This window comes from Homo sapiens, chromosome 2 (assembly GCF_000001405.40).
Source record: "Homo sapiens chromosome 2, GRCh38.p14 Primary Assembly".
Lineage (NCBI taxonomy): Eukaryota > Metazoa > Chordata > Mammalia > Primates > Hominidae > Homo > Homo sapiens.
This window is the reverse complement of record NC_000002.12, coordinates 141,587,801-141,611,657: the sequence shown is the minus strand read 5'-3', so window position 1 is coordinate 141,611,657 and position 23,857 is coordinate 141,587,801. Positions and strand designations below refer to the sequence as shown.

At 36.5% G+C, this 23,857-nt stretch overlaps 1 protein-coding gene and 1 long non-coding RNA gene across 4 annotated transcripts in view; one reads left to right on the top strand and one right to left on the bottom strand.

Annotated features, from left to right (window-relative positions):
- LOC107985779 (uncharacterized) overlaps positions 1-210 on the bottom strand; it is a 151,402-nt gene extending 151,192 nt beyond the window's left edge. Inside the window, exon 1 of the long non-coding RNA XR_007087247.1 lies at positions 57-210. This is a non-coding gene — a long non-coding RNA (uncharacterized LOC107985779). The remainder of the gene's footprint in view (positions 1-56) is intronic.
- LRP1B (LDL receptor related protein 1B) overlaps positions 1-23,857 on the top strand; it is a 1,899,594-nt gene that overhangs the window by 519,359 nt on the left and 1,356,378 nt on the right. The gene's annotated exons all lie outside the window — the stretch shown is intronic.

Below are 23,857 nucleotides of genomic sequence, written 5' to 3'. Positions count from 1 at the left end.
TGTTTTTCTGTTAATCATATAGAAGCAGATCAGCTTGTTATAAATAATGATCTTACCTTGCCTGAAGCACAACTCTTAGCACTTGTTCTAATGCAAATCCCTCTCCTTTTGTACTAGCTGCAGAGTAATAGCATTTAAGGCTGCGCTCTTTTCTTCTCAGGTTTCAATACTGTTGGGAAGAGAGGAAGTGGCTTCAATTTTAAATTTGAATAGGACTGCTTTCCAAAAAAAATGTGAGGAGGAGGACACAACCTTTCTTGACTTGCTTTTATCAAAAGCATCATTTTTCTCCTTTCTCATGATGATTACTGGAATTGAGACTCAAATTAAGCAGCTTGTCTGACAGATGATGTAATGTGTCATAACTTTTCCTTATCTGCAAAATAAGTATATTGGGTTGGAAAGTCAGGAAGTTTTGTCAAGGTTTTGTTTACTTTCACATTTGGCTCACTCTTACTACAGAGGAGATGTAGCTCCTTTAACTATGGGAAACCACGGTTAAAAGATTTCTGTCATTATTCTATGTGGACTGTGTGAATTTCTCAAGCTGATGGAATAAAACAGGCAAATGTGCAATTGATTCTAGCAGCTAGAGATCCTTCCTTGCTCACTTGTATAATTAGGCATGGCTTTTAAACAACTTTCTGCATCTCTCAGGGGGCTTTCAGGAACATAGGAGGTGGTGTTCCAGTAAGCTGGTGCTAATGCTGCAGCTTACTGCTAACCAGTTGCTCCTCCAATCAAATTCAATCCAGTACAATATATCTTTAAAAGAACTTCAAAATAATACAGTTATAGTCTGAGGGTGAATTAAATAGGCAGCGTGTTCCTTATCTCAATGCTCCGGTTTTTCCTTTTCCTAATCATCAGCTTTGCATTCAACCAGCATTTGCCAAATGCCAACAACATACCTGTCATCATTCTGAATGTCAGAAAATCATGATGAAAAAGGCAGACTTGCTGCCTGACTTTGTGGAATTCCCAGCCAAATGGTGTAGAAATGACTAGGCATTTACAATCAAGTAAGAGTTACCACGAGGTTACGCGCAGGATGCAATGAGGTACCCATGAGGGGTACCTTATGGTAGAAAGGGCAGGGGAGGTTCTCAGGGAAAGTACTGGCTGACCTGACATAGAAAGATCTAAAGCTAAGCTCAGGAAAAGAGGTCAGAGAGTGGCAAGGGGGCTGTAGGTGGAGAGAGCAATTTGAGCAAACACGTGGCAGCTTAGAAAAGCATGGTATTCTGAGGGAAACACTGTTTACAATGCCTAGATCACAGTGAGCAAAAAGTAATGGAAATAGGGTTTCTTTTTATTATTATTATTATTATTATTATACTTTAAGTTTTAAAGTATAATAATACATGTGCACAGTGTGCAGGTTAGTTACATATGTATACATGTGTCATGCTGGTGTGCCGCACCCATTAACTCGTCATTTAGCATTAGGTATATCTCCTAATGCTATCCCTCCCCCCACGAAATAGGGTTTCTTGATAGACTGTATCGAAGAAGAGGTTCATTACTTTTTTGGATTGTCAATTTCAAAGTTAAGAGAGAGCTGCAAATAGTTGCATTAATTAGCCAAGAACACAATAATTACAAATACCTTCATATCAGCTACATGATAGAATTCGAATGATCTGTCCCAAAATATCCCTGGTGTACAAATAAAAATTTCACCATTAGGTATTGATTTATTTGGCATTTTAGTACTGTACTGTTATTGAACAGGACATACATTAGCTATATTTGAACATATCATTGAGTGTGAATTACTTTTAACATATACTCTTTCTAACATTAGGGATTAGATTGTGGAAAGACTAATAAAAGCAGGCAGAGAGGAATATTTAGGTAGAGGACATGTTAGGGGAATTGCTCAAGGGAAAGGCAGAGTTGTGTGGGCACCTGGAAGAAAATCACCATTAGAGGAAAAAAGGAGTCTGAAAGATAAAGCGTTAGCTGACAAAAGCACTAGAGTGCCAGAGCTCGTTTTTGAACCACTCATGACAATCAATTGTTAAATTTTTATGAATTGTGAGTGCTGATTGTTAAATACAGTCATGATTTAAAAAGAAATAATATAAGCATACAATTAAGTGAGTTATATTAAAAACAAACACTCAAAGATCATTACTTTCTAATTATTTCATTGACTTATTATCTTTGCTGATGGAGTTATTTAAGACTGTTGTAATTGCACATTAGTGTGAATGACTAACATGAAAATATTATGTTAGCAATAAAATAAAGTTACTGATAATTAGTAGACAGCAACAGTACACTATGTCTAGGGATGGATTCTTATTTTCTTTAGAGGCCATGACCCATGTTTTCTTTGGAGAGCAGTCCTCACATTACTGTCTTAAAAGTAGAGAGTAATATGTGGAAACACTACGTAATAGTGTTCTCCTATACATCTCATGCCAATTATGTTGGTAACTTGAATTTGGCCATATTAGGAATATTTATACCATAAAAATTAGCAAATAATAAATCTGGGTTTTATTTATTGTTTTGTTGATGGTCCATTGTTGACGTAAGATATTAGTGGATTTTTAAAAATGTTAGAAATATATATTGAATTTAAAATGATATCATTTCTCTAGATGCTACATTGTGAGTAGCACAAAAAATTGAGAAAATAGTCTTCCAGCATTAAAGAAGTGCTATCCAACTTAGCAAATAAATCTCTCAGGTCATTGACAAACAGGTGAAATCTAAAATAGATTCATTATTACATTTTGGTAAAATAAAATTATCAGCCAACGTTTATTTTGAACCCATCCACCTTCATCAATTACATAAATAAATTAGCTACAAATATGAGTTTAGCAAAATCAACTGAAGCATTTTGTGAGAATCAACTGACTATAGGGAATTTACAATAAAGTGTCCTATATATAGGATTACTATTTGTTGTTAATGGGCCATATATCCTTTATATCAGTAATACTTATAATAAATTAAGTGCCTATATATTTTTTCCATAAAGTTTGTTGTGAAACATTCACTGGAACACCAGTGAGTAACAATTAAAAAAAAGTAAGTCATCTATTTTACAATTTTGCCCACATTTGGCCTTTGTGTGAGGGTTATTTCCCATATAATTCCTGTGAACATACTCAGTATTTAGTGTTTTAAGTTAATGTCATTGGACAATGGTGACCTGGATCTCTCAATACTCTGCTCACCGTAGCAGATATTGGAGAAGCTGTTCATGTGATAAGCTCTGGAAGATGAATTATTCATTTAATGTGACCTTGTATACTGTTGCTCCCATTACCACCAATCGTGTCTTTTGTGCTATTTGGAGCAGACATATATGCTCTAGTTTTTGAAATGCTTCTCTAGGGAAAATTTGCCAAAAACCATGCAGTATATGGCATTGAATTTTATTAAACAAATTATTTCTTTTCTTTTTTCTTTTGAGACGGAGTTTTGCTCTTATTGCCCAGGCTGGAGTGAAATGGCCTGATCTCGGCTCACTGCAACCTCCACCTCCCGGGTTCAAGCGATTCTCCTGCCTCAGCCTCACAAGCAGCTGGGATTACAGGCATGCACCACCACACCCAGCTAATTTTGTATTTTTAGCAGAGACAGGGTTCCTCCATGTTGGTCAGTCTGGTCTCAAACTCCCTACCTCAGGTGATCCGCCCACCTTGGCCTCCCAAAGTGCTGGAATTACAGGTATGAGCCACTGCACCAGGCCTATTTCTTATTTATTTATTTAAGACAGTATCTCATTCTGTCACCCAGGCTGAAGGGCAGTGGCATGATTACAGTTCTCTGCAGCCTTGATCTCCCAAGCTCAAGCGATCCCCCCTCCTCAGCCTCCTGTGTAGCTGGGACGACAGATGTGCAACCATGCCCAACTATGTATTTTTTATTTTTAGTACGGATGAGGTCTCACTATGTTGTCCAGGCTGATCTCGAACTCCTGAACTCAAACAATCAATCCTCCTGCCTCAGACTCCCAAAGTGCTGGAATTACAGGTGTGAGCCACCATGCTGGGCCTAAACAATTTATTTTTAATTGATCACTTTGTCTCTTCTTAACTGCAACTTTGGGGCAATATGTTGACACTAGTGCAAATGTTTTAGAGGGATGGGAAGGGAGAGCCAACTTACAGTGAAAATAAGATGAGGGGATGGGGTAGGGTGGAGACTGATCACTAAGAAAATAGGAATGCATCTCTAGAGATAGTGCATGACTACTATCTACTAGAGATCAGTGGCTTCTCTTTAATTATTGTTAGGTTACTGAAAGCTTAAGGATGTGTCAGGAAGCAGCCTGAGACTATTTGCTTTGGTTAGAGATGACTTTGACACAAATAGCTTTTACCAAAGTGAAAGGCATTGGCTGTTGTTTGTTTTAGTAGGAGTAATTTGCAACATGTTTTTGTATCACTCCTAATCCAGAGGTGGGTATGCACTCACTTATGTCTGTTTTGAGAAATGTTGAGAACGATTTTCTATTAATTGTTTTTTTTTTTTTGTCAAAGTAATGTGTAGTTAAAATTCACTATATTAAATTTTGTAAGGGTATGAATCAAATTTATGCTTTCCACTGAATACCTAGTGCTTAGGTATTCAAAAAGCTGGCCACACAGAAGGTACTGAAAACATATTTGTTGGAAGAAAAACAAGAAAGGAAGGAAGGGAGGGAGGGAGGAAAGGGATAAGGGAAAATAATGCATTATATAGCGTAACTGTAAAGGCATAAAACTCAGACATAATCTCACCAATAAAATGTAATAATGGCAATACTGTATTTTTAATATATTCCTCGTATAGTTTGCTAGGACTGCCGTAATAGAATACCAGAGACTGGGTGGCTTAAACAACAGAAGTTTATTTGCTCACAGTTCTGGAGGCTAGAAGTCCAAGATCAAGGTGTTGGCAGGGTTGGTTTCACCTGACGCCTCTCTCCTTGGCTTGTATTCAGCTGGCTACTTGCTGTGTCTTCACATGGTTTTTCCTGTTTGCATACCCTTGATGTCTCTTTGCTCAAATTTCCTTTTCTTATAAGGACACCAGTCAGATTGTATTAAGGCCCATGCTAAAGGCCTCATTTAGACTTAATCACAATTTTAAAGACCTTATCTCTAAGCACAGTCACATACTAAGGTACTGAGTTTAGGACTTTAACACAGGAATTTTGGGGGAATACAATTAAATCCATAATATTTTTTCCATTTAAGTTTCCATGCTATTTTTCACTGCATAGTTGACATGAAACTTTTAAACATTGGTTTTTAGCTTAATGTTTTATATTAAATAATTTACTATCCCAACAAAGCTTTGCAAACACTAATATAAAACTTAAATAAATATTATTACCTGCATACATTTTTACCTGTTACTTCATTTGGACCCATAAATTATTTTCAGTGTTCAATCTGATAAATAATAACACAACATTTATCAATATTTATTGAAAATTCATATGACCTTTTTAAGATTCTTGATGTTGCTCAGGGGTTCTTGAAGTTAGAAATAATGTGGCCAATTTTATTTCCCATGGAAGAGCATCATGGTGTGCTTAAAAGAGCTGAGATGAGAAAAGCATCTCTTGTCTAGCACGGACGTGTATGAAAGACATAAATTGCTTCAAACATGTACAAAGAGCCATTCATAGACTTTCGATTAAGTAATATCAGGCCTGAAGGTGATTTATTTAGGCTCAATGTTTTTTTTTTTCTTTTGCATTTTATCATACTTAATTGGACTTTATAATAAAAATGAAAGCAGCTGAATGATAGAATGGCTTAAAGGAGAGAAAGACGGAAAGAAAAACATATGTAACAGACAATCTTTTGACATTGACTATGAGGCTAGAAAGGACAGGCCATATATACTGTTTGATACTCAAGGAAAACAAAATACCACTTCTAACTTTGTGGCTGAGGTGACCTTTCCAAAGTCTTTCTTGGCATATGGAAAGTGTATTTTCCTATTTAGCAGTAACAGCAGCAGAAAATGTGCTTGGCCTTTACCTGTGTGTTTATGGTGGCAGAGCCCAGTGGATCATGTAATGGGCTGAGTATTAGGCTGCCAGTTCCAGCCCAGCTCTAGGCCATTCTGCTTAAAGGGACCTGGCTTGAGGCCTGGAGTTCCAGGTGATTTTACCTGACTTAGCTATAGAGGTATCAGCCCTTTAATGATCCCATAAACCTGAGAATATAGAGAAGATTCAAACAGGACTTACATAATTCTGCCCCATATTAACCATGATGAATCCACTCAAATAGGACCTTTTTCAAAAAAAATAAAATAAAAATAAAACTTAAATTAGGTGTCAGCATTTTTTTTTGTACAAGGCTAGATGATAAATATTTTAGGATTTGTGGGCCACATATGTCCCCAATCAATATTCTTCTTTGTTTTCTTCCTTTTGTTTTTTATACCCTTTAAAAATACAAAACCATTGTTATCTCAAGTGTCATACAAAACAGGCTGCAGACTGGATTTGCTTGTGGGCCATAGTCCTCTTTTGTTTGCCAATTTGCACAAATATATATAGCAAATCGAATGTGCTCCATAGTGACGCAGGATTTTTCTTGGTCACTTTGCCAGCCAGGAACCTCTGGCTGGCAACGTTCCCACCCGGGCCACCTTACGTGCCGCAAGAGACTACTGGCCCACTCTGCCTGCCTTGGCTGTACCTGGCTTGTGCACCAGCTCAGGTCACAACTGGGCTGGGTGTACCCCAGCCCACCTGTGTTATAGCTTGTACCCGTGTTCCAGGGTTCCCAAGTTCTTGTCTCGCATCCAAGTAGAAAAAGGATAGGCTGACAATTGAAGGCTGAGGAGGATGGGGAAGAATTTTACTGAGTGACAGAACAGCTTTCAGTGGAGAAGGGATGCGGGCATGATCCCCCACCTGAAGTCAGGTGGATTCTCTCTCAGTGTGGCTGAGTCCAGGGCTTTTGTGGGCTCAGAATAGGGGAGTGTGTACTGATTGGTTTTTGAATATTCAAAAAAGGCTAAAACGAAGGCACCACTCAAAAGTGGGCATGACAGTTTAAAACACCAGTTAGGGAAAGGTAGGTATTTGTAAAATAGGTGAAGGTTGAGGATCAATCAGAAGAAAATGTACCAAATGGGAAGACAGTTTCTTAAGCCAGTCCATGGATGTGACTTGTAGCTTGGTTTTCAGGCTTTAAACTGTCTTTGGCTTGGAGGTTGGGTTTCACTGGAGACCCACCCCTCTCTGCCTAGGATTTGTCTGTCTCCTGCCTCTATCAATAGTAGTATTTTTAATCCCTTATTTTACCGTGCTTATCTTAAATTATGTCCTCTGTACACAGAGCTTGCTTCATGAGGAGACCCAATTAGAGAACGCTCTGTTATAACATGGCATAACATTTCACAAGTTTTGATATTAGATTATCTGTCTTATCTGACCAACCATTTTGTATAATTTATATAAAATTTATATAATAGTTTCATTATGTAAAGATTTGCTGCTTTAGTAAATGGTGTTCCCTGTTATAAAAAATGACATTTCCATGGACCATCTATCGACCATCCATCGATATACATTTCATACACAGAAGTTGTTTCTTAATTGTTTGTTTTGTTTTTGGTAGCTTTTCATACTTAAGTACAGGGTACAAAACTGTATTCATTTGAATCTTCTGTGAAGAATTAGGAAGATTTAATGCAATTGCATCCCTGGAATCTAGCCAGACTCCTAAGGCAATCTCCTTACAAAACTGGGTCTTAGAATCTATGACAATTGTTCATCAGAACTTCAATGTTAGGCCTTTTCCTAAAGAAAATATTTTTAATTATAGTAGTATCCTCAAGAAGTTTTCTTCAGAATATGTTATATGATTGCTCCTCTAGATGAGTTTTGAGAGAAGAAACTTACCTGAAGAGTACCTGATGAAAGATCTATCTTTTTAAGTAACTATGGTATACACAATTACGGACTTAAAGAAATAATATGGTAAGGTGTTGATTCACAGTATTTTACTTAAAAGCCTCAAATATGAACTTTTAAAGTAGAATGCATTACCTGCTGATCACTTATGATATTGCAACATTTATATATTAGCTACTAAATATATCAGTCCTGTAAAAGATATAAATGTGCTAAATTCTGAATGATCCCACTATAACTTTTTGAGACAGAAAAATTCCCTATTATCTGTATCCCCTGATACAAGACATGGGCAAGCTGTATTATGGAAATATGAACTGCCCCAAGAACATAAATCTCCAAGGAGAACAAGCACTTTTCATGTAGAAAGTAGGATTCACTGAAGGATTAGTAACTACTTGAGCTTTTACACAAACGCATGCATACACACATACATATTCAACTGAGCCTACTGTTACTATTATAATTCAAAAAAAATTATTGACACAGGTTTTCTATGAAATGATTGGCACCTATAGGAGACCACTTGTTCATTTCTTGCCTTCCAATGTGAAAGTTGTAAATAATATCCTTGGATTGTATTCACTGAATTTACTTGCTTGAGTCAGATACTGATGTTGCTTCCAGGAATCTAAGAGTGACACAGCTATGCTTAAATTTAATTCAGGCCAATCATAAGTCATCACATTCAATCTAGTTTATTTTGTGTCTTTTATGAGGAAAAGAAACATTACTTTTCTGGAATATTTGACACAATTAGGTAAATCTCAATTTAACAATGCATTTTAAAATACGTTAAAATCAATGAGATAATCTGTATTCAATACTTGTTACATACAAGTTTCTCAAGAAACATTTACTGGCATTTTATACACAAAAACAGGTAAGATTAACATCAACCAGTTAGTTATGAGGACTGCCCAACCTCATGTTAATCTCTAATTGTTTGTGTTGTCACCTGTAGATTGGATGCAAAAATTATCTTTTAAAGTAAAAACAGTTCATGTGGGACTATTTATAGGTTTAGGCCCTGCCCATTATTCCTTTGAACTTGGGGATATTAGGAGAAAGCAATGTATCCTGGCAAGCAGAGGAGAACTGAACAGGTACAGAGCCCAAAGGATTGTCTGAAGAAGGATTTTTTAGGGAGTTTAGAGTGAAAGAGATATATTTTGAGAACAGCTGCTTTAAAAGAGATGAAGAAACAGATTTCAGGAACTTAGCAATACATAGTGAATAGGATCCCTCTTTATAATATTTTGAGAGGATTATGAAATGTTTAAATTACTTTCTAAATATTGTTTAAATTACTTTCTAAATATCTTTGCCTGTTTGAGTTGAGCCAACATAGGACTGTAAGGATCTTTGACTAATTAACTATATGTGGATTACACTTTGACAGCCTGCCTTTAAGTTTCAGTACTCAGCTGTACTTCAGACAAAAATCAATACCCCGAAAACATATTTTCATGCTGGTTACAACCTCACCAGATTTATGGTGCAAAGAGTAAAGATTTACCCTACAAAATGTTTATGTTTCTCAGAATACTATTGCAGAGAGAAGCACTGAAGACTATTCAGAGACCTAATAGGGTTCCTTATGAAATTGAAAACTAGAAAGTTGTTTCTAATTCAACTTCCACGGATACAGGCATTCTTAAATTGGAGCTCTTGGTGGATGATAGACGGCATGGTAGCTATGTTTAGGCTAATTCAAGTCATTTGCTCTGCTCCAGTGACAGAGATTTCCCTGGGAATTTGGCTGTTACTCTGAGTAGAACTGCTGACACCAGTTATTTGCTATTAGAAACTTGAGAAATGTGGGTGCAGTTTCTCATGGAGGCTTAAGAAAATAATGCTAAGGCCGGACGCGGTGGCTCATGCCCATAATCCCAGCACTCTGGGAAGCTGAGTGGGCGCATCACTTGAGATCATTAGTTCAAAACCAGCCTGGCCAACATGGTGAAACCCTGTCTCTACTAAAAATACAAAAGTTAGAGGTTGAGGCACAAGAATGGCTTAAATCTGGGAGGCAGAGTTGGCAGTGAGACAAGATCGCTTTATTGCACTCCAGACTGGGTGACAGAGTGGGAATCTGTCAGGAAGGAAGGAAAAAAAAAGGAAGGAAGGAAGGAAGGAAGGAAGGAAGGAAGGAAGGAAGGAAAGGAGTGCTACAATACAGGTTAAATCACGCTACTAATATAGTCTAGAAGTGGCAAGTATTAAAAGGTAGAAAAATACATCAAGGTGAAGGCCTACAGTTAACGTTAGTATTGTTTGTGGTCTAAAAGTCACCTGATTTTTGTTTGTATTACAACATGCTTCACTGGCCTAGAAACTGTAGACGGCAAGTGATTTGTCTGCATTCATATGTTGAATCCATAATTGCACATCAACAAGATATGGTACTTATAGGTACAGCATGGAGAGATTTCAACAGTGGCAATCTGCCAGGAGAAGATGTAGCACAGTTTGTAGAAACATGTGATGTGGTTAGAGGCATTTCATGTGCTGTTATTAAGATAGATAGATAGATAGATAGATAGATAGATAGATAGATACTGACAGACAGACAGATACTATATGTTTAGGATCTATTTTAAACTTAAAAGCTTCCTGAGTTTTTGCAGTATTGTGAAGCTGATCAATGTTGAGCCAGAAAATGGGGACAACATTGTAGTACTTTGGAAATAAAACTAAGACTAAATTACAGAGCTCATATTTAAGGAAGGAGGATAGACTCCAAGTGCCGGTATAGATATAGGTGTGCTTGTCTCTTAATCTTGGGTTACTTACAAAACAGATCCTGATTAATGTGGATATATGGACAGCTCAACCCTAATCAGGAGATGCCAGCAGCTGACCCCAGGTTCTGTTCGGATGCCAACTAAACCACTTCCTTGTGACAGCACTGAACACAAGAGGGACTGGTATAACTGCCTGGACTCCTGTGTCTCAGAATCTTGTAGGCACAGGTACAAAACAGGGGTGGACAGAGTTCTGTGTTTGTAAAGGGCCATCTAGTTGCACCCTGAATCCATGAGGAAAAGAATCCAATGAATAAAGAAATTTTTCTTATTTTATGGGCAGAGACCCTGCTATTAGGTGCTGTGGTAGGTAGCAGACATTGACTTTTCCTGCTCAGCAAAGTCAGAAACATGAGGGTTGGCTCTGGATCTAATGGTGGTTACGTTTGCAGTTCATTCAGACTACAGCTTCTAGTTCACCCATTCACTTTAAACCCTGATGCCAACAGATACTCACCTGCATCATCACTCACAACTCACCATCCCCTCCTCTTCCCAGTTCTACCACCACCATTACTCTAGGACCCAATCCTTTAGAAAAAGTGTTTTGTGCTCTAGTTCGTGGAATACAATAAATCTCTGACCAATGTTTCTCAACTTTATGTATTGTGTATTAGATTCACTTGGGAAGGTTTTTAAAATTATCTGGTTCCCACTTCAGAGACAGGCATGATTGGTCTGGAGAGGGACTTGGGTATTGCATTTTTTTAAAAAAAGCTCTCCAGGTGATTTCAAGGCACAAGTAAGACCGCTCTAACCAAAGCACTTAAATGGAGGTAGGAGGAGTATTGTGGTTAGAAAGGGAATTGATCACTATTTATACCTTTTTCACCACCTCTATCTTCTACCTACTCGCTTTCACTTATTTGTGATGTTGATCAGCGTACTGAATGGTGTAGGAAATTAGAGATGATAGAAAAGGGAGATTGATTTATATTTGAATGAGAAAACTGCCACTAAGGAGCAATAATAAATACAGTGAAAGGTGTGGGTGTGTGTGGAGCGGGCAGGGAGTGAGTGGAGGCAGAAAATAGCATCACCCAAGTGGCCCAAGTGAGAAAGGAAAAGCTTAGATAGAACAGAGACAGTGTGGGGACATGTGTAGGCATATGGGTTAAAGGGAGATTAGAAAGTCAGGTTTCAAGAGGGTTAACTTTGTTTTATAAATGGAATTTTTCTTAGTTGTTTTTGAGAAAACAAGAAAAAATTAAATTGCTATTCGAGTGTTTTTGATAGTCTTGTTTCTTTAAATAAGGCACAGATCTGACATGGAGACATAATGTAGTTCATCTTTATGCCCTTTATATCATTGTTACATTTTTCTCTGGATCAAATTGTACATATCGAAAAATAGAAGGTTCAAATAAAGTATTAAAAAACTTCAATCGATCCATGCATTCTGATAGTAATAGTTGCAAGTTCCAGCCATGGTTACCCTAAAGTTTTATATGATAGTTAATTTTAAATAAAATTTAATGTTCAAGTTTCACACTTCCTGCAGTGGCGGGGGGTTAGATTTTATTACACAGAAGGAAGTTTTTGGATCTGGACATCCTAAAATCTGCGTTATCAAGATAACCAGTAGGAAAATCCCTTTCTGAAGCAAAAGAAGCTATATATCTGAAATGAGATAGATAATCAAAATGTTGAATAGGGAAATTAAAAAAGCCAAATGGAGAAATAGAATTTTTTTTCATGAGCACTACCTCTAATGCTGTTTTTCAATTTCCCAGACCAATTTGGCAGTAACACAGTAGCTATGAACAAAAGTGATATGACTGCTTGAGTTGCTGATTGCAAAGAGACAAAATGCAGCCCTTTGTGGAGTTGATCTGAAATAGCAACTTTCCAAAATTAGAGCACTTGACAGGAGAGTTAAAGCGGGGGGGGGGGGGGGGGGGGGCGGGGGGGAGTTGAACAAAATAAAAGCAAGTCAATTTTTTTCAATTTTTTTATAGACTTGGCTTCCTTTTGTATTTGAGAGGGCCACAGTCAGAAGGGCTATTTCTGGTGTGGCTATCATATTTGATGTTGTCTGATCAGCAGTCTTTTAGCTGAGTTTCTACTTCTGGATTTGCCACCGCTTTTCACCTTCTTTGTGGTGTTGTTCCTACTTAAAAGAAATTGTGTCATGGAGCTTTCTCTGGGTTCTGTACACTCCTGTATGGCACAGAGTCTCATTTCATCTGTATTTCCATCAATCAACCATATTTATATTGAACTCACTGTTTGCACATGTATCAGACCTCGGTAGTAGGCTCAGGTTGTAAAGAAATATAAGTTCATTAGTCAATTATTTCTGCAATTTTCTGCTAAAATCTCAATTGTTGAGATTATTTTGAAAGCATACCATAGAGATAGCTGAGTTATTCTTTGAAAGATTAGATGGAAGACGTACTAAACACTGAATTGTATTCAATGAATACCAAAATAAATAATATCATTTCTGTCCTTAAGGAATTTTCCATTTAGAAGACAAAGTAAGGAAGAGGTGAAGAGCTCTTTAAACTATATAAGCTTTTCAAAGACCTGTAAGTTTTTTAATCAAGCTCTAAAATAATCAACCTATTTTTACTTTTTTAAAAAATTAATGTCATTTTATTTCTATGGTTGTTTTCCACTTTGCTGTTTGGTTTTATAGCTTTTTAGACAGCCTTATTGCTTTTTATTTCAAGTAACAAAAATAGGTAAGTGCCAAGTGTGTCCACAGTGCTACTAAGGACACTGTGGTATTCAAGATGAATAATATTCATAGTCTACCTTTATGATTATACTGCCCTTTAATGTATAAAAGAAACCCTCATCCAGAGTTAGGTTCTAGGATTAGTGATTCATGTAAAAATTATATATAATAAAAAAATTATATATCATAAAAAAGCACCTTTTAAAATTTTGTAAATTTCCCGTGAGCTTCTGTATACACGGCTCTGTGTGTGTTACACTGTCTCTTAGTTCAGTGTAGGCCATTTTCTTTTGGGCATAATACTGTTCCTTTGGGTGAATCCCAGATGAGGTTGTTGGCTTGTTTACAGAGTCTTTTTATCCCAAAAAGAAACAAACAACAAGACGAAACACAAAATAAAAATTGAATTGAAAAAAGCCACAAAGCCTCATTCCTGTTGTTAATGTCTGATACGTTTAAGTGACTGTTCATCATTTAAATATATTGTATGATGAATCTCCACTGTATTGAAAAACTACATAAGTACCTTAAAAGAAGTAAAAATAAGAGGCTGTGAGATTTAGAGAAAAAAAGAAAAGCTAATCTTCCAATAAAGGATCCAGAAAGAAACTTCATAAAGCAAACTGTATTTGAGATTTTAAAATCAGATTTAATTTTGACAAACTAAGGACCTTCCAATATAAGAACATGCAGTCTGGGCAAAAACACACAACTTGCAACAAATTTAAAATCTGTTCAAAATGAACTGTAAACATTCTATACTGATGGAAGTTTAGAATATGAGTTGACCATTAGGATGTGAAGGTGAAGGGCAAATTGAACATGTTATTAGCGAGAAGGGGTTGTGCTTAACTGGGAAGGCCACTGAAGGGTCTTATGAAGACAATGCCTTAGTTACGGCTTAAATCTAGGTACTAATTGTCTAAATTCTCATAGGGAGTAGGGAAGAGAAAAACTTGAGACAGAAGTAGATTGAGCTAGACTAGGATGGAGATAAAGCAAGTTGGAATTGGGAGAGTGATATTGGAAACAAGAAAGTAGAGAGAAAACCCAAGAAATATTATCGTGTGTGAATTTTGCTTCAAACTGGTGGTTGACATGGGCAGTAGGAAAAAGTCTGTGTCAGAATCACTTTGGGTCAACTAAAGTTTCTACAGTAATGGCACACAATTATTTGGATGAATGCAGATGTGTGTGTGTGTGTGTGTGTGTGTGTGTAAAATGTCAGAACTTATGTGTTTGTGCGTGTATGTATATATATGCACACACACACGTCAGTTCTGACTTTTTTTTACATATATATGTTTGAATATATACATAGGTAGTAACTACTAAACCTTGGTAATGTTCATAAAATAACCATTCATCATAAAAAATCTCCCCTTTACCTAGGATTCATTTAAAACATGGATTAAGTTATGTTTCAAGTGTTTATTTCTTAATGGCATATGGCACATTCCTGTTACCTTATTATGAACATCACATTTGGTATTGCTCCTGCCTTTTTTATGTCTATGTACTATATCTTGGTTTAACATTTCATTTTCTGTGCTTTGCACTGAAGTCTCTTAAGTGAAAGGAAGTTGAAATTCTCCAAAGGGGTTAGAATCCTTTTCAAGTGATGAAATTTGTTAGCAAGTCTTTTAAATCTAGAATGTAATTAAGTTCATCACAATTACTTTAGATCAATAGTGAGTGCATTTGTGGTTATGTTGAATGTGCTTTAGGAATGTATTCTGTCATTATTATTATTAATTATGTGTGTTACCTAATAGAAAAAGAAGGCTATTATTAACGCATACCTACATCCATCTACTCATCTGTCCAAATTTCTCTCATCACTTGACTTTTGATCAGATCAGTTTTACTTGGGCTTTCAAAACAAAAATCTATTTTACAGTAACTTAGAAAAAGCAGTATTTTCCCATATCCTTCATAAGTTCTGATTTTTTTGTCAAGTAATTTATTTCAGAAACTCAATTTTAGATGTTGAGTCTCATTCCAGCTCCAAACATTTTTTTCATTCTTAATTATATTAATAATTTGTAACATATTTTGCTTTATTTTCTCATAGGCAAAATTGAGTCAAAGATGTATACCCTGGGTAAGGATCGGAGTAGCTAGGGTAGTATCTAAATTTAGAAAATATAAACAAAAGGTTTGCCATGGTTCGCTATATCTGTTGGTATCCAAATATCAATGTCCACATAAAAATAATTAATATAGCCCTGTAAATTTTATAATGGTATATGTACTGTGTCTCTGTGTATGTTTCAGATCACTATTTCAATAACTATAGATCCTCCATAATTGGATTCAATATCTGAATTATAATTTATCATTCATCACTCTAATTAATGTATCTTTTAAATGGATGCAGATAAATTCCAATTAACTTTCAGCGACTAGTTAAATTTTCAAGTATGATAGAGCACATCATGCAACACTGGATATTCTTCTGACATGAGCTGAGGTTTCTAATCTATGTAGGGCATTTAAATAACATTTTCATGGATTTGAAGTTCCTCCAATGCTTGTGATGGCAACGGGAACCTGTGACTTCTGTTTAACCATATGGCTCTTAAGTAGCAGATGCTTGGAGAAATTGATGAAAGATGTGAGTCATATTATCTGCAGAATTTTTCTAAATTATTTTTTCTAATTTGTCAAAACATTACATAAAAGAATGATAGCGTATGAGTAACAAAATAAATTATACACTTCAAAACTCTGTCATATTTTTCTGCTTAGTATAGTATCTTTTTTCTGCCAAAGGCTATTAACACTTCAATAAAAAATCTGATGAGGTGTTGTCTCACTGTTTACAAATGTCTGATATAAGAGGCTGATTTGGTTATTTTCCCATCTCATTATAGAATTTTATGTACAACAAGCCTAGAAACCAGCATCTTCAGAGTATGTTACATTGTAACACAATTACATTGACTCTTAAACTTTGACTGTGACTCTCAGCAAGAAATATATTTCACATCATGACCCAGTAAATACATTTCTATATTTTCCCTAGATCCTGATAAACTGTAAGAAAACCTTCACAAAGCAACATTTAACTTCACTAATGCATTCTTATATTTCATCTTCTAATTTAAAAATTAATATTTGTAATCCAGTACTGCATAAAATTTAATCAAATTAATAGGTAAATATATGTTCCTTTGTCAGTTTTCCATATTTTGGTTAAATATTCTGTTTGTACTATTCCGTCTTTCATGAATTAGGATTTTTAAAATACTTAATATAAAAAGGGGACACAAAGCATCTAACAATTTTTAATGCAAAGGTAATTGTTACAAGTTAAAAAGAAGGTCTCTCATAGTTCATAAACTTCTATAATTTAGGAAAACTAGAAATTACAGGCTGTTCAAAGCTAGAAATATTCTTGACAATAAGATGGCATACTTTTATCTTTGTTCATATTTAAGAGTGTGTGTGGCCTATATATCAATATCATAAACAATCTAAATATTAACTCAAAAAATTATCTTCTTTTTCTTTTTGGCTTATATCCAAGGAAAATGAGAATGCTTTTATTTAAATATCTAAAGGAAGAAATTTATTTGACTGGCTATCTGATCAATGTAGTCAACCAAATGACAATTTTGATAAATTAATAACCACCTCTCTCTCCCAATTATCACTTTATATTTGCATTCTTTAAATTGGTTGTTTCTAACTCAGGTTAGTCTGATTTGTCCATGTTGCTTAGACACAAAGGAGAAAAGTAAGATTCCTCTTCTGACTAGCACTCTAAGTTTTAGATTAGTGAATGAGAAATCTTTGGAACACTCTGGAAGCTTCAATTCTATATCTACAAAAACGTGTGTATTCTAAATATTTTGCTCAGTTCTTTTGATTTACCAAGCAGATTACTCTCTCTGTGGAATTATTAGGACCTATTCTTATCTCTTTCACCATCTGCCTTCCCAGTGTTGTGGTCTTTCTGCACCTTAGCTTAGCTAGGTCCAAGTTCTTGTCTCACAACCAGGAAGAATTAGGCACACACACACCAGAGAGTGAGTTGAGAATTTATGAAGCAAAAGGAAAGCTCTCAGCAAAGAAGGAAACTGGGGCACAGGGTCCCCTACTCGATGGTGAGAAAGTCCCCCATCTGGCTAGGTCTGGGGCCTCTTATGGACTCAGAGTGCATGCTGATTGGCTTGTGAGTAGGCAAAAAGGGTCAAAGCAAAGACACCACTCAAAGGTGGGCATGACAGAGTAGAAGACCAATTAGGAAAGGGTATATAAATATAAAAAAGGTGAAGGGTGGGGATCAATCAGGGGAAAGCATGCCAAGCAGGAAGATGAGTTCTCAATCTGGTCCAAGGACGTAACTTTTAGCTTGGCTTTCAAGCTAATGACAGCTGATGACAGGCTTTGGAGGTAGGGTTTCACTAGGGACACGTCCCTATCTGCCTAGACATTTAGCTGCCTCCTGCTGCTCTCACCAAGTGACTGTTTTCTTCTATTTCCACATTTAAGAAAATCAGAAATGTTTCTTTTTTTTTTTTTTTTTTTTTTTTTTTTTTTTGAGACGGAGTCTCGCTCTGTCGCCCAGGCCAGACTGCGGACTGCAGTGGCGCAATCTCGGCTCACTGCAAGCTCCGCTTCCCGGGTTCACGCCATTCTCCTGCCTCAGCCTCCCGAGTAGCTGGGACTACAGGCGCCCGCCACTGCGCCCGGCTAATTTTTTGTATTTTTAGTAGAGACGGGGTTTCACCTTGTTAGCCAGGATGGTCTCAATCTCCTGACCTCATGATCCACCCGCCTCGGCCTCCCAAAGTGCTGGGATTACAGGCGTGAGCCACCGCGCCCGGCCCCTTCTTAAGAAAAAAAGTATTCAGTATACCTCACTTGTGACAGATATAAAAACTAGAAGAATAAACACATTTCTTGCTAACAACAACAAAGTAGTATCATTCATTCATACATATATATGTCGAGGGGGTACTTTTGAGTAATGAAATGAAATGTTTTCCTGGTAGAAATACACTGAAGCTGTTTATCTTTCATGGGTCCAGGTTTTTTCTATGCTTTGTTTGTTTTTGTAAAAGCCCTTAAAGGTTTCATGCCTTCCCTGGAATGTAAATATTCTTCACCCTCTGAAATCCCTAATTATCCATTTGCAGAAATATCATTATCTAGTCCTGTTATGTTGTCTCTTCTCTAGAGTTTTGTTTGTACAATAGCCAAATTTTCTTATTTCCCAAATTTTGGCAGAAGTTAACTTCAGAAAACTTGTCCTGAATTGACATTGTACATTTCTACATACTACCAACTTTCCATTTGTAGAAATAAGGGAGACTCTATTACTAGGATTTCAAAGGATTTTCCTATTATACATTGTGAAAATAAAATGACCTTGCCCATCAGACAAGTTGCTTTATTTAAAAAGTTTTTCCTTCAATGCTTGAATACACTCCAGAGTACCAAGGATTCTTTCTATTTGTAACAACAGTTGCTAATTATGTGAGTAAAACCTAGAATAGAATCTCAAAAGTGGGCCTCCATGGGAGGAATAAAGGAATTTCACAAGGTGCCATTAAAAGTATGGTATCTCTTGCCTCATTTTTAATGAGTCTTTTCTCCACAACTCATACCAGGGAAGTCCTAAGTCACAAGATATGTAGATATATACTTTCATATCTTCTGTGTCCGGTGATCATTTTAGATAAATGAGAGTCTGGCTATTTTCGGAATGTCTGTGTCCCCCAACTTCATATATTGAAACCTAATCACCAAGATACCATCATCATATGGGGTCACAGGGAGATAATAAAGTCATAAGGGTGGTGCCTTCATGAATGGGATTAGTGCCCTCATAAAAGAGAACCCAGAGCTAACCCCTTATACCATGTGAAGACACACCAAGACAGTGCCACCTATGAAACCAAAATGCAGGTCCTTACCAGACATCAAATCTGTTGGTATCTTGATCTTGGACTTCCCAGTCTCCAGAACTGTGAGAAATAAATTTCTGTCACGTATAAGCTATCTAGTTGATAGTATTTTGTTCTAGCAGCCTGAACAGACTAAGACAAGTCCCTGCCCTTGGAAAATTTCCAAATGAAATGCAGGAAAGCCATATAAACAATAAGTATGGAAAAATGGAGTCAACGAGTGGTTGGGAGAAAGAGAGCAACACAGTCAATGTTGGTGCAGAGGATGAGGATGTGGGGTTGAGGGGAGTGGTGGGGCATCAAAGAAGTCTTTCAGGAGAAAGTTGAGAAAGTTGCAACCAAATTGTTACTGAGGGATGGAATTCCAGGTCACGTGATTTGAAAGTAAGACTTTCATAATCCTGCATAGATTCTGAACAATTGGGCCACGAGAAGATTTTGGACTATGTATTTATTTTCAAACATCTTTTTTCCCTGTCAGTACTGGAACTGGTGTAGAGCTGGCTAAATAACAGCTGGCTATTGTGTCCCAAATGCTCCTATAGAAAAATTACCAAAAGGAAAATACAAACTACATAGTCAGTATTTTTTATAGGCTTAATCATACACATAAAACCATGGTCCACCTTTAAAATTAAAGCCTGTCGACATTTGTGTGGCATAAATTGAGAACTAAATTTAGGTCTGTCTGCCCAAATTGCTTCATATCAACTGCCTCATACATAAACACACATGGAGACACACAGACACACACACACACACACACACACACACCACTCTGCAGTTGTCTTCAGTGATCTTACAATTTTCTGCCCGAGGAAAACTTCAATTAAAATATGTTTCTAATTGACCTCTGCTATAAGCACAACTGTATCACCTGGGAGTGGGGACACAAACACATATTAGCTTTTTTAACATTTTAATCGATTTTTTTTTTCCTATGGCCTGGTCAGCACTTGGCCCAGATCAGAGGCCTGGGAAAAAAAAAAAAACAAACAAACAACAACAAAAAAAAACCAGTACTAAAACCAAGTCTTTGCTAGAAGGGATAATTTAAGGCATCTGGATCTTTCCTAATGAGAGAAGCCTGGGTAGAATGCTGTTCTTAGGGACATGGGGAGTGCAAGAAGCTACATGAAGCTCTGGAGTAATTAGGAAGTATGAGAGAGGGAAGTGAAAATGGGCAAAGTGCATCAGGAGATACTACAGACGTACTTCTTGGAGCTGCCTCAGGTTAATTCGCTAATCGCCTTGGCCTGAGAGTATCACCGCTAAATTATCTCATAATTACAGTCAGGAGGGCAGAGGTAGAAAGAAATGAGTCAAACCGTAGGCTATTTACCATGGCTCGGGCTTCAAAAACAGCCAAGGAGGCAAAGAAAGAGGAAAACTTGTCAAAGACTTTTAAAAAAGATATGTTTGTGTCAGGACAGGCTGTGAAGGGAGAGACAAGGCACACAGGAACAACGGAAAGGACTTCTGTAACGCTGGGTTGGTGTCCTTGACTGGTGAATTGGGACTGATGAGTTGGGACATGAGCAGTCACTGTCATGTGGCAATGATTTTACGTCAGCAGCCCGGCATATCTGGTAGCAGCAGGAGGGAAAAATAAAATACCTCCTCTGATTGAAACTGTTAGAGAATTCATGGAAGAGGAGCACAAGTGCCCAAATTGGGAGGAGACAGGGATTGTCAATTGAAATCCCTGCTCTTGTGGGGAGAAAAATCTTTCTGATGAGTGCGAGGAACTGGGGCCTTGTTTCACTCTTTTATAGCTCATCTTAGAAATGATACCCTTTCTTGCCTATAAAAAAAACTGTTTGAGGCTTAATTCAGAATGACATCCCCATTTAGGCCATAAATGTTTGAAGCTTAAGCTTAAAATCAAACTTGTCTTCCGTCTCTCTGCAACACCGACAACCCCTAGGGCACTCCAAGTATTTTTATATGTATAAATTGCTTTTGCTGTACGAAAGTTTTTAAAATTCAGCCTTTGTCTCACAAAGGAATAGGCGAAAGTATTAAAAGGGTGGTAATCTCAGCAAGAGTTTTAAATTCAGCTTATGTCAGGCAAACACAATTTAGTTCATATGTTTCATGTTATCTAAGTCTCTTTTTAAAAAAGAAAGAACAACTCATTATGTCAGTGAAAAGCAATTTATAATGAGACCATCACCAATAATTGTTTGTTTTAGGCTGTGAAGTGGTAGGGTACTTTCCTGCCTGGGTAGAATCAAGTAAAAATAACCATTTTTTTTTCTGCATTTGCAAACAGGATAGGTTGTAATGAATAAGCCTCCAGTACAACCCATTGCATTTCAAAACAGACATTTTGATGAAGTTAGAATAACATGAAAAATGGCAATACTTTTCAAGTCGAAGAACTTGTGCAGTTTAGTGGCTTCTTAAATCAAATTTCAAAAAATATTATTCATTTTAATAATATTGTTGAACTTTGAATAACTTTATTGCCTTTCTCCAGATGTGCACCCTAACTCTTCCAGACATAACTTAATTTGTTTCCATAACATACCCAAAGAGGATGTGGTAGTTTGCCTACTCAATAAACAGCAACATCCCACCTCCCAGGATTTAGCCATATGACAACCTCATGATTGTTGACAGAGCTGAGAAGCAGGATTTAAACAATAAAACTCGAGGCACAATCAAATTGCAACCACAAAGTCCATGCAACTAAGCAAGTGCCTTTTTCTCTTATAAGTGTTTCCTTAGAACTGACAAAATCTTATTTTACTGACAATTTTAACAAGTGTGTTATTTGGTTACCAAACCCACTGCCTATTAGGAAGCAGGAAACGAAAAAGGGGATGGGGCTGTGAAGACTTGCGCAATGATAGTAGTTAAATGTGTCAGCAAGAAAGTCGAAGAAAATCTATAAAAAGCGTACAAAGGAACTCAAAAATCACAAGAACCGAGCTATAAAGGTAAACACAATAAAGGCAAACAGACCTACAAACTTTTATAATCCCTGATGTTACTGCTATACTATAATTGGTACACCTAATGATGGTCAGAGGTCGCTATGGAAGTGTTATTTTAAGTTCCATAGTTTGATCAGTTTTAAGAAAACAAACAGAGTACATAACTGACTTAGATTTTCATCCAAAACGCTCATCTCTTTTTTTAAAGAGAGGTTTAAAAGGTTAAACTTTAGCTGTTATGTTGTTTTTGTTCATCTTGACTAACTCATAACTCAATACTGCAAGTGAGCTTTACTTACAAAATTAAACAACTAGTATAAAAATATAATATAGTTGTTGGGTAATAAGGATGTCCAAGCTCATTTAATATATACCCAGTTTCAAAATCATCCTTTAAAATAAAGCCAGGGAATGTTTTCAACATGTCTACTTGTGGCTAAATATATTACAACATTTTTCTGGCATGATTAAGATTGCAGGTTAAATTCTCCATGTGGACCTGTTGTCTTATTTTTTGTCTTGACCCCTGTTTATCCCCCTAAATGGCATATAACACATAAAATTTATTTCCACTTTCAGAAAAATAACCACATAATTACTAGAGTAACATCTGATTATCTACATATTTTACAACAGCATCTTAAATAATAAAAATCCATTCATTCACCGGGTTCTTATTTCATATCCGTAATGTAGAGAGGGAAGGAGAAGAGCTAGCTCAGAACATACAACTTCTTGTGGCAGGCCCAGTGCTAGTGTCACATTATCTTGCAACGAATTTGGAGAGCCAATTTTTAAAGAAACGGAAGCCCATGGAGGGAACTTGTATGGAATGTGGAATATTCTCATTTCCTTTAGCTTGCTGCTGGAGAGGGGCTAAAACAATCCCTGTAAATGTTTGCTAGTTGTTAACATTATGGTACACATTAGTTTGATTGAGTTTCATATGGTACTCTGTGCCCCATTCAACTCATTTAATGACTTAGTCATTGTAATAAACAGGGCAAAATGACAGAGTCACAGTTTCAGTCCCTTCTCTAAGTAGCTTCTGTGATTTTAGGCCAGTATTATGTTTTCTAGGCTGTGGTATGCTCATTAAAAAAAAATGAAGAGGAGCCTTCAACTACCTCTGCCAAGGAGCCAACACACTCTTATGATAAAAAAAAAAGCTGCCAGTCCTAAGTTGGGGATTAATGAAGACAAATTTTAACAACTTTGTTCCTTGAGATATTGTGGACACATTGCAGTGTTTGGACAAGAGTATATATCTCAAGATAACTTATATTTTTGGTTCTCCATAAACAAAAGTATGTTAAGAAAAAGAGAGTTAGCAAATACTTACATGGCAAAACTCCAAGATAAGCCCAACTTGAGAAAGAGTTTAATTTCATATACATATTTTGATTAATAAGGTATTAGCATTTAGAAGACCGATCTGGATTTTCTACATCTGATAAACAACTAAGTGTAGAGAAAGAAAAGTAACCTTGGTGTATACGTGTATTTTGTTTTAAATTTTCTTATCGAATACTATTGGTTGGCTAGTTTATAATAGTAATGTTAGTGCATTACTTGTATTGTTTTTTATTTCTTCTTTCTTCACTGTTTTTTCT